Source organism: Homo sapiens, chromosome 3 (assembly GCF_000001405.40).
Source record: "Homo sapiens chromosome 3, GRCh38.p14 Primary Assembly".
NCBI classification, from domain to species: Eukaryota; Metazoa; Chordata; class Mammalia; order Primates; family Hominidae; genus Homo; species Homo sapiens.
Window position 1 is genome coordinate 43697795 of NC_000003.12, and position 20457 is coordinate 43718251.

The 20457-nt window shown below is 39.4% G+C and overlaps 1 protein-coding gene across 9 annotated transcripts in view, besides 1 other annotated feature; it reads left to right on the top strand.

The window, feature by feature from the left end:
* The window catches only part of ABHD5 (abhydrolase domain containing 5, lysophosphatidic acid acyltransferase), a 43502-nt gene that overhangs the window by 6925 nt on the left and 16120 nt on the right, over window positions 1-20457 (top strand). For 5 of the 9 annotated variants that reach the window (XR_007095689.1, XM_047448243.1, NM_001355186.2 and 2 more), the window contains exons 2-6: window positions 1482-1567; window positions 4421-4793; window positions 13915-14069; window positions 17153-17264; window positions 19877-20063. Coding sequence is in view for 5 of the 9 variants with exons in the window: in XM_047448243.1 (XP_047304199.1) it covers window positions 1482-1567; window positions 4421-4793; window positions 13915-14069; window positions 17153-17264; window positions 19877-20063 (913 nt within the window). In the remaining 4 variants the exon portion in view is untranslated. The remainder of the gene's footprint in view (window positions 1-1481; window positions 1568-4420; window positions 4794-13914; window positions 14070-17152; window positions 17265-19876; window positions 20064-20457) is intronic. The other 4 variants (XR_007095691.1, XR_007095690.1, NM_001365650.1 and 1 more) reach the window with 2 other exon arrangements.
* Window positions 5404-5548: a silencer, noted in NCBI's record as "fragment chr3:43744690-43744834 (GRCh37/hg19 assembly coordinates)". NCBI's record gives its function as "represses an EF-1alpha promoter that drives an FKBP-Casp9 reporter gene in an ReSE screen in phorbol 12-myristate 13-acetate-treated (for megakaryocytic differentiation) K562 erythroleukemia cells {active_cell/tissue: K562(+PMA)}" and the evidence as "EXISTENCE:reporter gene assay evidence [ECO:0000049][PMID:32094911]".

Here is a 20457-nt window from a genome sequence, read left to right on the forward strand (position 1 = left end):
AACCCTTCAGACATTTTAAGGAAGGTAGTCATTTGAGAAAAAAGCACTTTGGAGTGGCTCAGAATCAAACTTACTTACTTACTAGCTGTATACCCTTGGACTTGGTGCTTAACATTTCTGAACTTCAGTTTTTACATCTATGAAATGGGGATAATTTGGACTGAGAATCCCCTGGATTGTGAGTGACTTAATCACTCAGCAAACATTATTGATTGAGTACCTGTTATACGTAATATCCAGATAAATTCTACAGGGAAGGGAAATATAGTAGGATGAACCTACAAAGGTAAGAAAAGCTAGATGTTGGTACACAACCCTTCCAAAACTTAGCACATTTTCCTCTCACACCTATTCTTACTCTTGTGTTGTCTGTCATTATAGTGGTAACCTAAGAGAGACGCCTGGGAATCCTTATTATAACTTCTTTATCTCCAACCAGTTATCAAATCCAACCTGTTTTCCTTTTAAATATTCTTTGACTACATCTTCTTGTCTCTATCCCTGTTGCCAAAGCCTTGGATTGGGCCCTTACCTCTCATCTGGACTCTGCAGTAGTTCACTTTTCCTCTTCTAATTCATTTCTTTTTCATCAGAAAGTTCTCATTTTAAATAATACCAGCCATGCACCGAGCCCTTGCTAACTGTCAAATGACTACTGAAGCTCTGCATTATGTCAGGTTATTACAGTAAGCTTTTGGTTTGTGACTGCCAGGCCAGGAGTTGAGGCTTACCCTCTCTTTTGTTGGCTACAAGCAAAGTATGTCAACTGCAGCCTCCCCATGCCTTTCCTCACTAGCTGCCTCAGATCTGCTTCCTTGTTCTTTGTTGTGCTGTCTTCTGATGGATGCTTTGGTCGTTCTGTTCATCTACTGTTTGCTGAAACCCAAAGCTTTTTTGTACTTCTATTAACAGTTAACCAGTTCACCCTAAGGAGATTGTACGCAGACCAGCCTCCCACATTTGTGTTAGGGGTATGTTACTACTCATATGAGATTTGAAGCCTTCTTTTTCCCCAAAAAATGGTCGATCTCAGATTTTAATAAGGTGCCCCTTTTCTCAACCCCCATAGAGGTACCTTTTATATTCACTGTGAAACTGTCATTCAAATGAATCTACTCCTGGTCTTTAACTTTTTTTGCACTTCTACCCCAATAAGAGGCTGTCTTGCAGTGGGGAGGAATGCATTTTTTGTGTTTTCTTGTTCTTCCCATTTTATCCTCTTTTTGCTTATTTGGAATCTGACTATCCATGAATAAGATGGACTTTGAGATCTACTTGTAAGTACACAGGCTGAAGTTGAATATCTGTATCCCAGTACTTACCACCATGCTTTGTGCATGTTAGGTCACTTTTGTCACACATAGCTTTACCATCACACAGGTAGTAAATTTCCTGTGCTGCCTTTCTTCTGTGCATGTGACAATTGGTAGTTGAGAAGAGCATGAACTCACCTATTTGTTATTTTGTTTTTGGTGCTCTAGGTCAGGATGGCTAACTGGTTGGCTCCCCACATGGTGCCCTACGTCTATATCACACCTTAAAGAAGCTGAAGAGAAGATGTTAAAATGTAAGGCTTTCTTCTTGTAAGTTAAATGAGCTGTGTACTAAGATAGGTCCAATATATCTCATTGCCCTGAAACTGGAGGTAAGATTCTGTGGTGTGTTCATTGTTGGCAAAATAACTTTTTTCCTTTTCCTTGTCATTAGAAAGTACAGAAATGAATGTCGGGGGCTGGCAGGTAGGAGTTCTAAAACTTTTTGGTCTTGGGCCCCTGTTATACTCTTAAATTAGTAAGGACCCCAAGGAGATTTGTTTATGGGCTTATTATCAATATTTATCATTTCTAATACAATTAGAAATTAAAATTGAATAATCAAAAATGTTAATTTATTAATTTCTTTAAAAATAATAGTAAACCCATTACAGATTAAAATAAATAAAATTTGTACCAAAAAAAGAAAAAAAATACTTTCCAAACATTGTTTACATGTTTACAAATGTCTTTAATGTCTAGCTTGACATAAGGTTGCTGCTTCTGCTTTCAGTCTGATGGGTAATCACATATGTGACTTCTGGAAGACTACTTTATACCTATTAGAGAATGAGAGTGAAAAATAGAAAGTCTTAGTATTATGATGAAAATAGTTTTGACTTCCTGGATCTCCTCGAAGAGTCTCAGGGACACCCCCCCTGACTCTGCTTGAGACTATGCTTTGAGAACAGATTCTAGGTGTTTCAGAGCAAGCAGCCTTGTATAGTGGAAGTACTAGACTGGACCCAGGTAACTTGGTCTAGGCCCAGATCTGCCACTAGGTGGTTACAAGATCTTGGACAAGTCACTTTGCTCAGCTTCTCATTTCTTATAAAATGAAGGGGTAGGATTCTTATAAAATGAATGGGTCCATAGAATTCCTTCTAGTTCTAGCATTCTAGGATTCTATATTTATAGTGGTGTGGAAGCCCCTTTTTTTTCCTTCTTATGAGCACTAAAATTTACCCAAACTTGTACCATCAGGGCATTCCAAGGTATCTGTGGGTGTAGTTCTAAGTAGTGGTACTTATTGTGCAATTTTGTTCTGCTGATTCTACTTAAAGGAGTGGATTAGGTAGTACCATTCATATTCATGTGTTATTTTTGTATGTAGGTGCAGATGTTTGTACATGCCTGTTTTTCATTCTCTTTACCACTAATGAATTTGTTTGTGCATTTGAATGATTCAGGAGTAAGTGACCATAACTGGATATATCCTTAGGAAGGGATAATTAGCCATCTTTCATGAATTTTTTTTTTTTTTTGAGATGGAGCCTTGCTCTGTTACCCAAGCTGGAGTGCAGTGGCACAATCTCAGCTCACTGCAACCTCTGCCTCCTGGGTTCAAGCAATTCTCCTGCCTCAGCCTCCCAAGTAGCTGGGATTACAGGCACCTGCCACCATACCCAGCTAATTTTTGTATTTTTAGTAGAGATGGGGTTTCGCCATGTTGACCAGGCTAGTCTTGAACTCCTGACCTCAGGTGATCCACCTGCCTCGGCCTCCCAAAGTGCTGGGATTACAGGCATGAGCTACCACGCCCAGTTATTACATGGATTTTTAACATGATAATGAACTTCTATTCCATATACTTGGGTAAACTTGCTCTCTACAAAACTAAGAAAGATGTCATTGTGATTTACCAAAATAAAAAAATTCTTATCAGGAGGTAAAAAAGGGGTGCTAGATTCTCAATTCATGCATTTAACAGACATAATGATTCCCTTCCTTTTGGTTCTAGGGATGCAAATAGGAATGTGAATTGGTCTCTGCTTTAGTGTCAGACATGAAAGTAAGCTACGGTGGAGTGAGTTCTCTAATAGTTATACAGATGGTTTTTATGGGAATACACAGACGTATGTGTTCAAAATGCTGAAGTGGTTTGGCTTGGCACTTAAGCCAAAGCAGCCCCTTTTCTAAACTAGTGGTATTTCCCCCAACTTGAGGGCTTGTGCTCCATTAATATTCTGAATGAATGTTAGGTTTCTTCTTTGCTGCCACTATGTGGATACAAAACATGATATTATTTCTTTGGTTAAAAGGCAGAAACTCCTGTTTCTTCAGTGTCTTGTTTACTGTATATGAATATGCATAAATAATTAAGGGGTATATCAAAAATGCAGCTGTTCAGTTGATAGTTAAATATAAATGATTTCAAATTTAATTTCATTTTTAGGCAATTTTTGGGAGTGTTTAAAGTATTTAGTTCCACAACATTAAAGGTAAAAAAGAGTTTTGGTCTATAAAATTGTGACTATTTGCTTTTTCTAGGAGATTACTAGAGTTGGACCCAAGTTACCTGGTGTGTCATGCTGAGGAGTTCCTACAATACTTTGTCAACCTTTTTTTGAAATGACTTAAGGTTTCACTTACATGTTTAACATAGATACCAGTAATCCTTCCCTAAATTCATGACTACTTTTTAAGGAAAAATGATGCCTTTAAGCCTGACTTCAACTCAAAGTTAACCAAAGAATACCACCTTGAAATTGTAGAACACCTGACAGTATTCTACAAATTCTCTGCAAAGCTAGAGACCTTAAAATAATGGGTTCGGTAACCACTAAGTTCCTTTTCACTTCTAGGAGTATAATACCCTCATTTGACAGATGTGGAAAGAAGTTAGAAGGTAATATGACTTGCCAAAGACCTTGATCACAGGTTACTTGAGGTTTGTCTGAGGTAGGTCTTCCCCTTTAGGTGTAAAACATGGTCATTTAGGATTATTTACTTCAATAAAATGTGTACTTTTTAAAAATAGCTGACAATACAAGCTAAAATCATGAGATTGGATACTAGATGATTTGTAATTTTTGGTTGCTCTGAGAATACTTCCCTTCTCAGAAGTAATAAAATGAAACAGAATTTCTCTTTTATGTTTTCATTAGGTGTGCCTTGCACATACAAAAAAGAACCTGTTCGTATATCTAATGGAAATAAAATATGGACACTGAAGTTCTCTCATAATATTTCAAATAAGACTCCACTTGTCCTTCTCCATGGTTTTGGAGGAGGTCTTGGGCTCTGGGCACTGAATTTTGGAGATCTTTGCACCAACAGACCTGTCTATGCTTTTGACCTATTGGGTTTTGGACGAAGTAGTAGACCCAGGTTTGACAGTGATGCAGAAGAAGTGGAGAATCAGTTTGTGGAATCCATTGAAGAGTGGAGATGTGCCCTAGGATTGGACAAAATGATCTTGCTTGGGCACAACCTAGGTGGATTCTTGGCTGCTGCTTACTCGCTGAAGTACCCATCAAGGTAAGTGGTGGTGACAGAAGAGAGGGATTATAACTGTGCTTCCAAGTACCAGACTCTAGTTCCCATCTTTGGTGGTTGTTAGTGTCTGAGCCACAAGGCAGACATTCTCTTAAAGGACCCTATAGACCACACCACAACTGATGACCAATATAGTAGCTGAAATAATCATGTCAGATCTTCCTATTACACGTACTACATGTTAATAGGCTTGGGAAAGGGGTTTCTATTTGTTAAGCTTAGAATTGTAGAAACTTTAATGTATAATTTTAAGCCACAAGTAAAAATTATTTATTATTATTATCATTAAACCTATGAATCCAGCAGGCTTCGTCTAATGTTTTCTAAGTTATAGTAAGCTGTAAGGGGAAACCAGAAGGTTAGAAGATGTAGGTACTAGTGCTAGCTCTATGACTTAGAGCAAATCACTTAACCTCTAACCTTTAGTTTTCTTTTACCTAAACTATAGAAAATACAACTTCATAGCATATATCCCAGGGTTTTTTATTATACCATACCCTAACCTTTCTCATTATAAAACATTGAATTAATGAACATTTGCTTCAAAGTCTTTCTAGCATCATCTCCTTTCTTTAACTTTTTTTTTTTTTAAGAGATAGAAGCTCGCTCTGTCACCCAGGCTGGAGTGCAGTGACATGATCTCGGCTCACTGCAGCCTCCGCCTCCCAGGCCCAAGCAATTCTTCTGCCTCAGCCTTTGAATAGCTGTGACTACAGGTGCATGCCACCACACTCAGCTAATTTTTGTAGTTTTAGTAGAGATGGGGTTTCGCCATGTTCGCCAGGCTGGTCTCAAACTCCTGACCTCAAGTGATCCACCCCCCTCGGCCTCCCAAAGTGCTGGGATGACAGACCTGAGCCACTGCACCCAGCCCCTTTACGTTATTTTTAAATGCTATTTACTGTCATTCATGTTACTACTCTGAGAGAGGGTCACATTTAAGTGCTAAGAAAACAGGAGAAAAACTCATCTTTGTTTTGATCATCTTTTGGAAAGAAACAACAAAAAATGAATACAGCATTTTTGTGTTGCCAGTGTATTTTTCCATTGGACTGATTTTTAAATCCAAAATTGCAACTGATTTTGACTTTGAGGTCCGTGAGTGAGACATGGGATGATGGTCATTTCAGAGTGCCTGTATGTACCTATAAGATCTCCCCATTGCATAACTCTGGGTGTGTGTTCAACACAGAATTTGATGTGTGAAGCAGCAGCCCTGTGTACCTGAGGTTCTCTTCCTCTGGAACAGCCACTTTTTCTCTATAGACTCTTTATCTAAACTTTAGCATTTACACCTGATTTTTCTGATCTCATGGTCCTATATGTGCTAGACAATAATAGTCCTGTCAACTGGCGGACCTGTTCTTTAAAAAGAAATGCAAATTTTCTTCTCCTGGTTGGCATTTTGGGGTTACTTTCTTTATTTTCTTTTTTTTTTTTTTTTTTTTTTGAGCCGGAGTCTCACTCGGTCGCCCAGGCTGGAGTGCAGTGGCGCGGTATCTCGGCTCACCGCAACCTCCGTCTCCCAGGTTCAAGCAATTCTCCTGCCTCAGCCTCCCGAGTAGTTGGGATTACAGGAGCCCGCCACCACACTGGCTAATTTTTGTATTTTTAGTAGAGACAGGGTTTCACCATGTTGGCCAGGCTGGTCTCAAACTCTTGACCTCAGGAGATCCGCCTGCCTTGGCCTCCCAAAGTGTTGGGATTACAGGCATGAGCCACCGCACCCGCTGGTGTTACTTTCTTTTATTGTGTCCTACTCTTAGTGACAAACACCTATTTGCATTTATGGTGAAAGGAGAAGGAAGTAGATGCTTTTCTGGTACAAGTCAACAGGGCTATTTGTGGGAGTTGAACTTCCTTTGTTTTTTATCAGGTATGTATTATGTCTGTGTCTGTCTTGTGGTATTTATTCTCTGAAGATGTGACATGGAACTCTGCAGGCTAGACCTTGGTCATTAAACCCTAAGTCTTAGAATCCTGACCCTTCATAGCTCTCTACTGATAAGGTCAGTTGGCAAGAGTTTCATTTGCAATTGTGAACTGCTCTAAAGAAATAGGGGGCTTCAGGGATTCAGAAGGGAATCAACACTTTAAAAACATTATAAAAGAGAATAGCAAAAGGTATCTAAAAACAAAGCTAGTGATTCCTGCATTGGACTAATAATATTTTAGAAAATGGTTTTTGAATGTTTGTGTCTAATGCTAGAAATAAAACTAGAGTACTGTCTCAGGACCAAGAATCATAAGTAGTAGCAGTAGATGGATATGAGAATGCTTGAAATAATTAGCCTGTCTAAATTTGGCTGGTTGCCAACAAAATTTTGAACTGTACAGAGTGTATTGAATATTCAAGCTTATATTCTTAACTGCATAAAACTTAAATTATTAAATACAGGTTAATTTCAAAATAATGATGTTTTCTGGATTTTCAGATATCTCAAATCATGATTATGTCCAGTCAGTCAGAACACCATGGTTGGCACATAGTGGCTGCCTAGTAAATATTTCTTGAATAGGTGATTTTGAAAAAGAGAATTATAAGCTAAGTTCACCTTTTAGCTAACAATTTTATGTTCTTTTCTCTGTTCTTCTCTTTGCATTTTGCATAGAAGTATCAAGAGATAAGAGCTGGTCATGTCATATCTTTCTAATTTATTTTTGGGAGAAAAATTAGTTTCAGATATGCAAGCATAAGCAGGCAAAGATTTCAGTTTTATGCCTTTTGCCCAGTTAGTCTACATCTTGAGTTAGTATAGCATAAAAACAAGTTACCGTGGAAATAAAGAGATCATTCTGTGTGTATGTGTGAGAGAAAGGTATTAGTGAGAATGTTTCTTCTAACATTTACACACACACACGTATATACATAACATACATGAATATTTTACAGAATTAAGCAAATTGACCAGCCATTTAAACCAACAACTTTAGTTAGTTTAGAAGTGTGTTAAATCTACTAAATAAAAGTAAAATTTTATAGTTTACTTTTTCCCTGTTCTAATAGACCAGATAATACCCCATTGTAGCATATAATATAGGAAGACTGGAATTAACAATCTCACGGGCTTCCCCTTCTCCCTAGCTTTTTTCCTTCATTGCTTTTCAGGATGGCTTCCCTGGAAGCACTTCTCTTTAAATGGAGAGGACAGGGAAAAATGAGTATCTCTTGTCTTTTCTGCAAGGTGCATCGTCTCCTTTGGTGCCCTTTGGTCTTGCTGTCCACGTTTATTTATATTACTAATAATGTTGCTCATATTTGTTAACTTTTTATTAAAAAGAATTTTTTTCTGCTTGGTCCTGGTTGGGCAAATTTGTACAAATTTACATAGATGATCTGATAGTTAATATAGTTCGATAGACTCACAGATCCAAACATTAAACAGGATTAAACAGGACTGAGTACTGTTAAGTGTTCACCATTATAGCAAACCTCATATTAAGTTATGTTTAGTGTTTGGTGTGTCTTGAAGTTGGCATTCCCACTAAGCAGATGGGGTGGTTGTCAGGGTTGCCTTCTGTGTGATGTGGAATGTTTCACCTAAGCTGGAGAAGCTTCTTTGCAGCACACACACGTTTTCTCTGGTGCAATAGAGCAGTCCGCTTGGTATCAACAAACAGGTACTGAACTACATACTCGTGCTCATCCAGCTTGCTTTTGATCCAGTAGCATTTTTATTATGCTGTCATGATATTCAAATGAATCTTTGAGTTTCAGAAAGACTTTTGGTGGGCGTGGGGGGAGCGGTAAGAGGAGGGAAAAAGTGGTCTGGAGATCAAATGAAATTCAGATCTTTTCTTACACTCACTGTGCCTCTTTTGTCTCTCTCTCTTTTTTCGATAATGGACTTTGAGAATGTTACCTTTTTTTTTTTTCTTAGAGATGGGGTCTTACTCTGTTGCACAGTTTGGAGTGCAGTGGCGCAATCATAGCTCACTGCAGCCTTGACCTCTTACACTCAACAAACCTCCCGTGTAGCTAGTACTACAGGTGTGCCACCATGCCTGGGTAATTTTTAAAGTTTTGTGTAGAGATGGGGGTTTCACTTTGTTGCCCAGGCCAATGTCAAACTCCTGGCCTCGAATGATCCTCCTGCCTCCAAAACTGCCGGGATTACAGGCATGAGACACCGTGCTCAGCTGATAATGTTATTTTATTCTTTGCTTCCTCAGGTGTTGCAAATATAATCTTTATTTTTTTCTTTTAAGTAAAATGACAGCTCCTTACTTTCCGTTTTATGCATGGAGGGAAAAAACACAAAAACAACGTTGTTTTATTTGTTGGGACTTAGTGTTCCAAGCCATAACTACTTCAGTCCTTGTCTTTTATGGGCAGCTCCATTCTTCCATTCGTTACTTTTATAGGACAGTTTGAAGAGAAGAATGAAAAGGCCTAGTTTAATGCACTTGTTTAAGAAGGATTCTTACTCTAAAGAACAAATAAAAGCTGATCAATTTTTGCCAACTTTTGGATTACAGGCGTGAGCCACTGCACCTGGCCCGGTTTTTTCTTTTAATTTTCCTTTCCTTCTGGCCCCTGCTGCTCAGTACCCCATTAAAAAAACTATCTGTATTTTAAAGATATTTGTTATAAACTACGGAAAAGGAGATTATAGAAACTTTAACTTAGAAAGTGTTTAGCAAAGAGATCTATTCCAAGTTAGATTAGAATAAGTTTTCACTAGTCTTTATTTCTCTAGTAAAAGGTTTTTAAATAATTTTATCTTGAATACTTTTCTTTTGCCTGGCTCTGTCTTCTGATTGTACAGAACTGAGCTGAGCAATTTTTGTTGGCCCTCTGCTGTTCTAGGAAAAGCTGTTCTACTTGATTCGAAGTTGGAGATATTTAGTTTGTTGTTCTCTGGGCATTCCCTTTTCTCTCACCAATGGCTTGGAGCCAATGGGAAATACCTGGGGCCAACTTCATTTTGCAAATGCCTCCTTTGTGCATTGACTAGAGTTCTTTCTGATTATTTTCCTTAGATTCACTTACACATTTTGATTCTAGGTCTAATTGTTCTCCTTTCTTTTTTTTTCCCCCGAGACAGTGTCTTGCTCTGTTGCCCTGGCTGCAGTGCAGTGGCACCATCTCGGCTCACTGCAACCTCCGCCTCCTGGGTTCAAGTGATTCTCGTGCCTCAGCTTCCCGAGTAGCTGGGATTACAGGTGTGCACCACCATGTCTGGCTATTTTTTTGTATTTTTTGTAGAGACAGGGTTTCGCCGTGTTGGCCAGGTTAATCTTGAACCTCTTGCCTCAAGTGATCCACCTGCCTTGGCCTCCCAAGGTGTTGGGATTACAGGCATGAGCTACCACGCCTGACCTGATTATTGTTCTTGTTGCATTATTTCTGACTGGTGGCTGTCTTTAAATCTCATGAAGGTCAGGCTTATCTACCCTTGTTAGCATTTAGAGCAAGTGAAATCAGGTCCTAGTGTGTTGGTACAGGTGTTGTCCACTGCTTTGCCCTTAAGGATGTACTCTGCTCACCATCTTCAAACTCAAGGCCAATTCTAATGACTAACATTAAGAAGAATGCCTTTGTATATTTCAAAACTGATGAGCTGTTCTGTTGTTCCTGCTCTGCTGGTTCTTTGTTTTTCTTGTGGTTTAAACCAGTCTCTGGTTCTTGACAAGGATGTCTAATAGGATGACTCACATGTGCTATCTGGTTGGACCCATTCTTTACCCTAGATGTGAACTAACAATCCCAGCAGGGAACCCTCTCTGGAATATTAAAGAGTAGGGTTTAGCTAATTATAATAATTTAGATGTACATTAAAACCCAGTAACTCCTATCAAGTGAGGAGATAATATTTTTACTAAAAGCGGAGGTTAGAAGATAGCCTGGGACCTTGGTCTGGTGCAACATTGCAGTCACCTGTGATCAAGCTCTTCTGAAGAATAAATACCTGTCTTTCCATGTTCCCGGGAATAAATTCTACTCTTGTAGTCTTCCTATTCTTGCTACTGTAACTAGCTTACATTTACTGAATACTTACTATTCGATGGCCACCAACCTGAGTGCTTTGCATGGTCTATCTTATTTAAAATTCTTAAAACCAAAAATAAGGAACAATTATTTTCTGGGGTCTTTACATGTAGTAGAAGCAGATGATATATAACTACAGTTAACTATAGTTTAGATGTTGTAGAGTTTTAAAAAATTATGTTCAAACTTTTTTTACTATAGCCCTTCTATATTGTTTGGAATAGAAAAATACAATTGTATCACCCCACAAAACTTGTTTCAGACACCCATGCACATATACATTAATACAATTTTGTGGCCGGTATTCAATGCTTATGATTTATTTTTCTGTTCCAAACAGTATAATTTTATTTTAAAAAAGACTAGACTGGTTCTTGACCATCTAAATGGATTTTGTTACCGAATAATAAGATTAATAAATAGCAGTGATGTTCTGATGTCATCTGGGGGACCAGAAAAATCCAGCTGGATATGCTTATGCTATGATTATACTTTATAAAATTTGTATATCCTTAATAGACTAGGACTAAAAGAAAATGTGGAAAAGCATATTAATCCAAATGTTTACCAAGCATCTGCCATGTGCTAAGCCTCATGCTAGGTTATGAAGACATAGAATTGAGCAATTGTAGGGACAGTAGAATTGAGCAATTGTAGGGACAGTAGAATTGAGCAATTGTAGGCACGGTTCACTCCTTTTCAAAAAGAAACAAAAAGATCATCTGCCTTAGTATATATACTTTGCATAATTTGTTAAACTGGCATTTTCACCTAGGGATGAAATTTTGAAGATCATATTTAAAAGGCAAGCCAGAACTAAGGCAAAAACAGTCACTTACCTACAGACAGATGAGACTTCTGTCAAGTTTTCCTTTGTCCTACCTGTTTTTGGGTTAGCAGGTCAGAAAGAGCTTAGAGCAAGATCCATTAACAAATTTGTGACAAAAATTTAACTAAATTGTTTAGGGTAGGGTATGTTTTAATAAAGAGTTCATTTTTCTCTTTGGGAGATAAGTCAGTAGTGAATAATAGTGGCTGTTTCTTAACATGAATCTTTGCTGCTTTCAACTAGGTGGCTGTCTCATTAGTTCTACTCATACCCCTGTTAGGCCTCTTCCTTCCCCTACCCCAGATCTTATTGTGGGCTATAATTAAAGGAATTTAGGGCCGGGCACAGTGGCTCAGGCCCATAATCCCAGCACTGTGGGAGGCCAAGGTGGGCAGATCACGAGGTCAGGAGTTCGAGACCAGCCTGAGCAACATGGTAAAACCCCATCTCTACTAAAAATACAAAAATTAGCCAGGCGTGGTAGTGTGTGCCTGTAATCCCAGCTACTCAGGAGACTGAGGCAGGAGAATCACTTGAACCTGGGAGGCGGAGGTTGAAGTGAACTGAGATTGTGTCACTGCACTCCAGCCTGGGCGACAGAGTGAGACTCCATCTCAAAACAAATAAAAATAAAAAGGAATTTAGGAGGTGGTCAAAATATAAGAGTTAGTCTTTGCCATTAAAAAACAAAGCAAAACACTCATTTCTAACCTCTTTCTGATACACTATTAGAAAATGTTCTCATATGAAATTTTTAGGCTGTGAAGGCATACTTCATAATTAAATGAAACTCATTTATCACATATCTTCATACATCTCTATGGTTATATTCTACATATGTTAATGCTATGAAGTTTGGAGTATAATATTAGGACTGGCCTTGAGAGTTGATAAAGGTTAAGTTTTACCTTTACTAATATGTCTCTCTTATGTTGATTAGCCTATTTTTAGAAAATAAAGCCTTCTGCCCAATTCCTTGTCGGCATCTGCTGGTATGCTGGGGTAGAGAAATGTGGGTTTCAGCCCTAGTTCTGTGTTAACTAATGTTATGTACCGGAGCAGGTCATGTAGTACATCTCAGCTTCCTTCTTATCTAAGATGATTGCACCCAATATTCTCCAAGGTACCATAGAGCTCTGTGCACCAAAGCTTTCTGTCTGGAAAGAAAACAGTCACAGTATGGACCTGTTACTAACTTATTCTTATGCATGCTGACAACAATAATAGAATAGATTTTATATGAAGAATAATACCATCTGTGCCCATGTTTTAGATTCTTTACCTTTCTGTTTCAGTTATAACTTAGGAAAGGGACTTTAGAGTCATTGTCAGTTATCCTTGGGAGATTTTTGGCTGGCATTTCTTGGCTGGCTTGGTTACAGTTGAACATTGTATTGTATCAGAAGGATCTTTGTACTTTGTTTGGAATCTTTATGATGTTTAAAGCATGATGCAGCTATGTGGAAGTACTGCTGATAGTTCTGGTTTTCCTTCATTGGGAAGAAGTTTCATAAGATGGAAAAATTAAAATGATTAACAATATGAAATAATTGTATATGAAGTTCTACTGAATATTTTCTATCTCTTGGTCAATGAAAAAGAAAATTGGGAAAGAATTGAAAACAGAATCTAATGTCAGTATAGCGTGATATCATGGATAAGGTAGATAGACTTGTTCCTTTTCAACAATTCTAGAATCCTGAACTAGGGAGTGTTTTCAGTCCACGTTACGTTATCCTCATGTTTATGAAAAGTTAATTTAAAGTACTTTTGAACCCGCTTTAAGTCCTTAACTTCACTTACATTTTTAGGATGGTTGATTCATAGGAGATAACTGTTGTTGGTATCTGAGGCTATTTTATAAGAATGTGATATTGATCTTTAGCCATTTTTGCAGTGTCAACCTAGACATACATGGAACCATTGGATTTTTCTGAGTGGCCAGTGATCTACATCATCTGCCAGAGTGTAACTTAAATAACAAATGCCCTTTTTTCTTTTTCTCAAGAAACACACAGTTCTGTACTCTATATATCTTTTATTATTCACATTTAGATATATTAAAAATAAAGCCCTCTTTCTACCATACACCTCTTAGATCCTACTGAATCTCAAAAGTTTACACAGAATAAGAGCATGATACGATCTATTTAGCACTAATCTTTAACGTGAAGGTTTTTGAAGGTGGTTCATTCTACCTTTATTTTATAAATCATGTTAGCTCTTTATAGTCTTAGGGTGATTTTACCAAATGAACTTAAATATATTCTTTCCCCCAACAGGGTTAATCATCTCATTTTAGTGGAGCCTTGGGGTTTCCCTGAACGACCAGACCTTGCTGATCAAGACAGACCAATTCCAGTTTGGATCAGAGCCTTGGGAGCAGCATTGACTCCCTTTAACCCTTTAGCTGGCCTAAGGATTGCAGGACCCTTTGGTGAGTGCTTATGTTCTAGGAAAGCAAAATGTTTGTAAGTTATGAGAAGAGCAGAATTCACTATTGTTAGTCAAAATCTTAAAAACAAACAAGAAAACCCTGAACCCTTACTTTTTCTCCTCTTCCTCTAATAAGTACCATGTCTTGCACAAAGACGAATGCAACTAGGTTCTTCTCCTCAAAGGAGAGTCTTTATATTGTAAACATTGTGAATAATTAGCAAAGCAGAAAAGGAGGGAATGCTGAGGATAAGGTTAGTCAGTCCTCAACACTCTAAAAAAAGCCAGGCAAGCAGAGTGTTTTGGGGAGTATATAAGGACCTCTGCTAGTCCAGGGCCTGGGAGAAGTGTAGCATGTTGCCCTGCTGGTGAGCACTGGAGAGCGTTTGGCCAATTGATGATACCATTTGGTACCATAAAACCTGATTTGATTGACCCTGGGGATAACAGGTACCACCACACTCACAGATTCTTCCCTTATCCATGTCAGAGTGTTGGAAAGATAAAGTTATTTTTTCCACAACATTTTGGGGACTCCTGATATATATTTCTGGTCATATTTTGAGGCACCAGTGTTTAGTCCCTGATTGACTTTTATTTGACTCTCAGCAGTTCTGTCTCAGCCCCATAGCCATGGGAATTTCCTTCCCTCATTGTCACAGATAATGATGTTCTGAACTTCTGCCTTTCCCCCGTACAACTTGTATGAATTTGGAGTACTTTTAGTTGTAAGTAACTGAATACCCAAGAGGCTTAAACTAGAAGGACTTTTATTATTTCCTTAATAAGCAATCTGGAGATAGGTTTTAGCACTTGTTCTGGTTGCTTGCTCATTGATGTTAGGGTTTGGGTCTGTGTCTGTGATTTTCTTGACTTTTTTCCTCACGGTGGTTTGATGCCTGCCATAGCATTAAGCATCATCTCACAAATCAGCGCCCTGAGCAAAAAGAAATAAAAGCACGAAAAATGGTCCTTCTCTCCATAATGCTTTGTCAGGGAAGAAAGTCCTCTCTGGAAGGCTCCACCTGACCTCTGCTTATGACTCGGCCCACTCCTAGTCCTTCCACCAGCAAAGAAGAAATTTCTGTGATGCACCAATCATGATTTGTTTCCAGGGCCTGCTTTCCTGGGCATGTTGCTGCCTAATTGATACTATAGAAAAGATGCGTTCTAACCAGGTGCTGTGGCTCACACCTGTAATACCAGCACTTTGGGAGGCTGAGGTAGGCAGATCACTTGAGGCCAGGCTTTGAGACAAGCCCGGCCAACATGACAAAACCCCATCTCTACTAAAAATACAAAAAAATTAGCCAGGCATAGTGGCACACACCTGTAATCCCAGCTACTCAGGAGAGGAGGCTGAGACATGAGAATTACTCAAACCTGGGAGGTGGAGGTTGTGGCGAGCCAAGATCGCACCACTATTCTCCAGCCTGGGCAACAGTGCAAGACCCTGTCTCAAAAAAAAAAAAAAAAAAAAGGAAAAGAAAAGAAAAAAGAAAAGATGGGTTCTGTTAGTGAGAAAAGAGAAGAGGCATGGGGGTGTGGAGGAGGTTGTGGGATTAACTGTCATGCAGGTGACTGTAAATGCTGTTCCCTTCTGCCCAACCCTGACCCCTCCTGCCCTAGTGCCTTCTGTTTGGATTGGGAGAGCAGTGGGACTGCAGGACTTAGAGGAGGATATGGGGGTTGAATTGGTGACCACACTTTATTGCTTCAGTGCTCACAGATGGCACATTTTGCCCACCTGCAGTCTTTCAGCCCTCCCCAGTAGAGCCACTCCTTACTATGCCTGGTCCTTCTCTGGTAAACTACTTAAGAGCTTCATTTAGTCTTTATAGTCCTGAAATATAAATAGATTTTACTAGAACACAGGTACAAAAATAACAATTATGGGAAAAGTAAAGTATGAAGAGAAATTAGGAGACAGTGATGGGCAAGGGAGGACACCTAGGAGAGGCTCTTTAATGCCATGCCCTCAGCCTGCCATTATTGCTTGCACTTGGGGGTGGGGAGGTGATGTAGAATCAATTGCATGACAGAATTTCTTGGTGGAGCTGTATAATTCATCAGAGATGGGAAGAGAGGGCCAGTAGAGAAGTAAAGCCTTGCTGGAGTCATGGGGTAGTGGTAGCAGAAAGGGAGACCAGTCAGTCTCTGGGGCCTCAGAATAGAAAAGTGTGACTAGAAGAAAGCTTCTGCTCTTCATCCTCTTTCCCTTGTGGGCCTTGCCCTGGGCTTTTTCTTTTCTTTTCTTTCTTTCTTTCTTTTTTTCTTTTTTTTTTTTTTTGAGACGGAGTCTCGCTCTGTCGCCCAGGTTAGAGTGCAGTGGCGCGATCTTGGCTCACTACAACCTCCACCTCCCAGGTTCAAGTGATTCTCCTGCCTCAGCCTCCTGAGTTGCTGGGATTACAGGTGCACGCCACCACGCCCGGCTAATTTTTGTATTTTTAGTAGAGACAGGGTTTCACCGTGTTGGTCAGGCTGGTCTCGAACTCCTGACCTTGTGATCCGCCCACCTCGGTCTCCCAAAGTGCTGGGATTACAGGCTTGAGCCATCACGCCTGGGTGTCCTCGGCTTTTTCTAGAGTGGGGCTGTGGGCGCCACCAGGGATAACCTTAGCAGGGAGTCTCGCTAGTGTCCCAAGAAGAAGCTGAATTTATTTTCACACAGAAATAATTATGTATACCAGTTTACTTCATTTAGAAGTTAATGTGTTATAATTATGGAAGAAATACAAGTTATTACATTAATTTTTACGTACGAGCTACTCGCCACGTTTAAAGAATTTATTTACCTACAAAAGTGCCTTCTAACTTACATGTTTTTGAGGCCCTAAAGTACATCTGCAAGTCAAAATACAATACTCTTTACTTCTTATATTAATATTTCCTTGGGGAACTTTAGGAGGACAGCTATCAGAATGTGTGCTTTTTCCCACCTACAATATATATTTGAATACATATATATATGTGTGCATATAACACTCATTACACAGACAAGCACTAAAACTTTCTATATTATTTAGTTGATAAGTTAACTATAATTTAAAACATGCATTTTTTAAATTTCCTGTTAAATAGGTTTAAGTCTAGTGCAGCGTTTAAGGCCTGATTTCAAACGAAAGTATTCTTCAATGTTCGAAGACGATACTGTGACAGAATACATCTACCACTGTAATGTGCAGACTCCAAGGTGAGGGTTAGGATTCTCAATTCACTCTGTGTGTGTGTGTGTGTGTGTGTGTGTGTGTGTGTTTGTGTGTGTTTTAGACTATTTTTTTTAAAACTATTTATTTATTTATTTATTCATTCAATACGGGGTTTCGCTCTTGTCACCCAGGCTGGAGGGCAATGGTGCGATCTTGGCTCACCACAACCTCCGCGTCCTGGGTTCAAGCAATTCTCCTGCTTCAGCCTCCTGAGTAGCTGGGATTACAGGCATGTGCCACCACGCCCGGCTAATTATTTTGTATTTTTAGTAGAGACGGGGTTTCTCCATGTTGGTCAGGCTGGTCTTGAACTTCTGACCCCAGGTCATCTGCCCGCCTCTGCCTCCCAAAATGTTGGGATTACAGGTGTGAGCCACCGTGCCCGGCCTTTGTTTAAAATATATCAGTGGTCCAGAAGATTTGTATCAGTAGTTAAATGACTGAATTTAAAAGGACAAGTGTCTAATACATTTTATTTTACTCATCTATTCTTAGAGTACCCACTGTATAAAACATTGTGCTGAGTTCTGATGGGGGATTAAGAAGTAACATGTTCACTCTTCCCTCAAAGTTCTCATGAACATGTTGAGAAAGTCTTGGTCTTGGGCATCTCCAAGAGATGGTTTGAGTTGAGAGTTGAAGAATTTCACATAAAGAAGTATTTCCCAAACTGAGTATGAATGTTTCAAAAAAAGAAAAAAGGGTGCTGGATTAAACAAAAGTAAATGATTGTCTATACTATGAATCCTCTTAGAACCTTTACTATACCGAAGGGTATTGAATCTCCCAAGTGAATGGGAGATGCTATGTGTATTTTTCAAGTTCATTTGATGATTGTACTCCTGAACAACTCTAAAGATCTGTAGGTCAGCATTAGAAATGCAGCTGCAGAGGGTGAGGAGTAAGTGAGGGATTCTGCATGTATTTTGACAGTGATTAGAAGGAGAGAGAGAGAATGGGGCATAGTAGCAGAGGGAGCAAGAGGGCCAAATGTATGTTTTAAAAATATGACTTATGGATGTTGGGTGAAAAGTACCAGTGGAGAAAACAGAGCCTGAAGATAGTGGGGGGCTAGGAGGAGGCCGAATGATAAGGCCCTAGAGTTTCTAGGAAGAGCATCAAGAATAGAGTGCAAAGATGAGAGCTGCAGTTCTCATGCTATGTTGTGTACTGGAATTATTGGGGGTGCTTGTTGAAATGTGACTCCTGAGGTTTGTTTCTAAGACTAATATTAGCATTTCTGGGCTGCATCTCTAACAAATACTCTGGTGATTCTGTATAGGTGAACTATGGAGCACACTTTAAGACAGAGAAGTGGTATCTCATCCTTTCTAAGACTGAGGTTTGGATGAAAGGCTAAGAGGCGAGATGCAGAGACAGCCTCCCTCTCTTTTATTTCCTCCCTCACTTTTGGCAGAAAATATGTACACCTACTTTATTAAAAAGATTGAGGCCATGGTAGCTATTTATAGGTAGCTGTAGCCTCAGTCTTTTTAATAAAGTAGGTTAGAGGTTCTCTGCCAAGAGTGAGGGAGGCTAGAGGTTCAAGGTCTTCAAGAGATTGAGGTTTTGTGAATTGCTAGGCAGTCAGGTTTGGTGGATTAGGTCTACACACTTCCAACAGTTTTTTTTAGGGGTCTTCCCCGGGAACATCATTCATTTTCCTGCATGGCGTAAGTTTTACTCTTCACGTACTCTTATTTCATGATTACATGTGTTCGTGTAGTCCTAGTTTGTTACTTTGATTGTAGTGAGACTTGAATTCTTCATAAAAGGCAAGTTAGAATGATGTCTGGTTTTGTAAGAATAGCAGAAGGGACCAGGCGTGGTACTCACGCCTGTAATCCCAGCACTTTGGGAGGCCGAGGCGGGCAGATCACAAGGTCAGGAGTTTGAGACCAGCCTGACCAACATGGTGAAACCCCGTCTCTACTGAAAATACAAAAATTAGCTGGGCATGGTGGTGCGTGCCTGTAATCCCAGCTACTCAGGAGGCTGAGGCAGGAGAATTGCTTGAACCCGGGAGGCAGAGGCTGCAGTGAGCTGAGACTGTGCGTGCAGCTGCACTCCAGCCTAGGCAACAGAGCTAGACTCCATCTCAAAAAAAACAAAAAAAACAAAAAAAAAAAATGAATAGCAGAAGTGACAGCAAGATAGACCTATCCTGAGAGCTTGCAAGAATATATTGTCTGAGTTTCTTCTTAACTTGGTAATGGTTTTAGCATTGCAGGTGAAACGCTGGTGCCATGAACCTGGGGATAAGCTACCTTCTACATCAGTTTAAATAAGGACAAAAAAACATATTTTTAACTATCTCCACAATAAATAATTTAATGATAGAAAATTAGGGTTGTACATTTTGGTTTACAAGAAAACTTTTTTAAAAATCAGCTGGAGTATACAACAGCCTTGCTTATCTAACAGTGATCTGTGAGATTTGTTCCTTACACTGTCTCATAAATTATTTTCTATTTAAGCTGAGGTTTTTCTTAGGTGCTGGAAAAGCTAAATATGAATGTGTTTTGATAGAAGTGACAGTGCAATGCATACTCATTCCCAAAAATCATACATCGTGATTTTCTCCTTGCCGTTAAAGTGGTGAGACAGCTTTCAAGAATATGACTATTCCTTATGGATGGGCAAAAAGGCCAATGCTCCAGCGAATTGGTAAAATGCACCCTGACATTCCAGTTTCAGTGATCTTTGGCGCCCGATCCTGCATAGATGGCAATTCTGGCACCAGCATCCAGTCCTTACGACCACATTCATATGTGAAGACAATAGTAAGTGTGTGGCTTGATTTGGGTTTTTAGGTATAGGTGAGGTCCGTTTTATTATCTCCCTTAAAAGAGGTTTTAGGTCATCCTCGTGTTGCAGGTCATCTGAGCCATACCTGCAGCCTCAGTCGGGGACGTGATACCACCTGTGATGGGTGCAGGGTTTGGCCTGCACACATCTTCATGTCCAAACCGTGAACTACCTTTCTGAATGACTTTTCCTGTCCCTAGAGCCACAGCATTAGGAGAGATGGACAGAGGGATTGGTCCAGTAGCACTTCAAGTAATTCCCACCTCACAAGGCAGCACACTCTCACTTTTTTCAGTTTCTCTGTTGGCACTTTTATTAGTGGTCAATTTAGTGTTTTTTGCATATTAAAATTTTATTGAGATTCAGTAG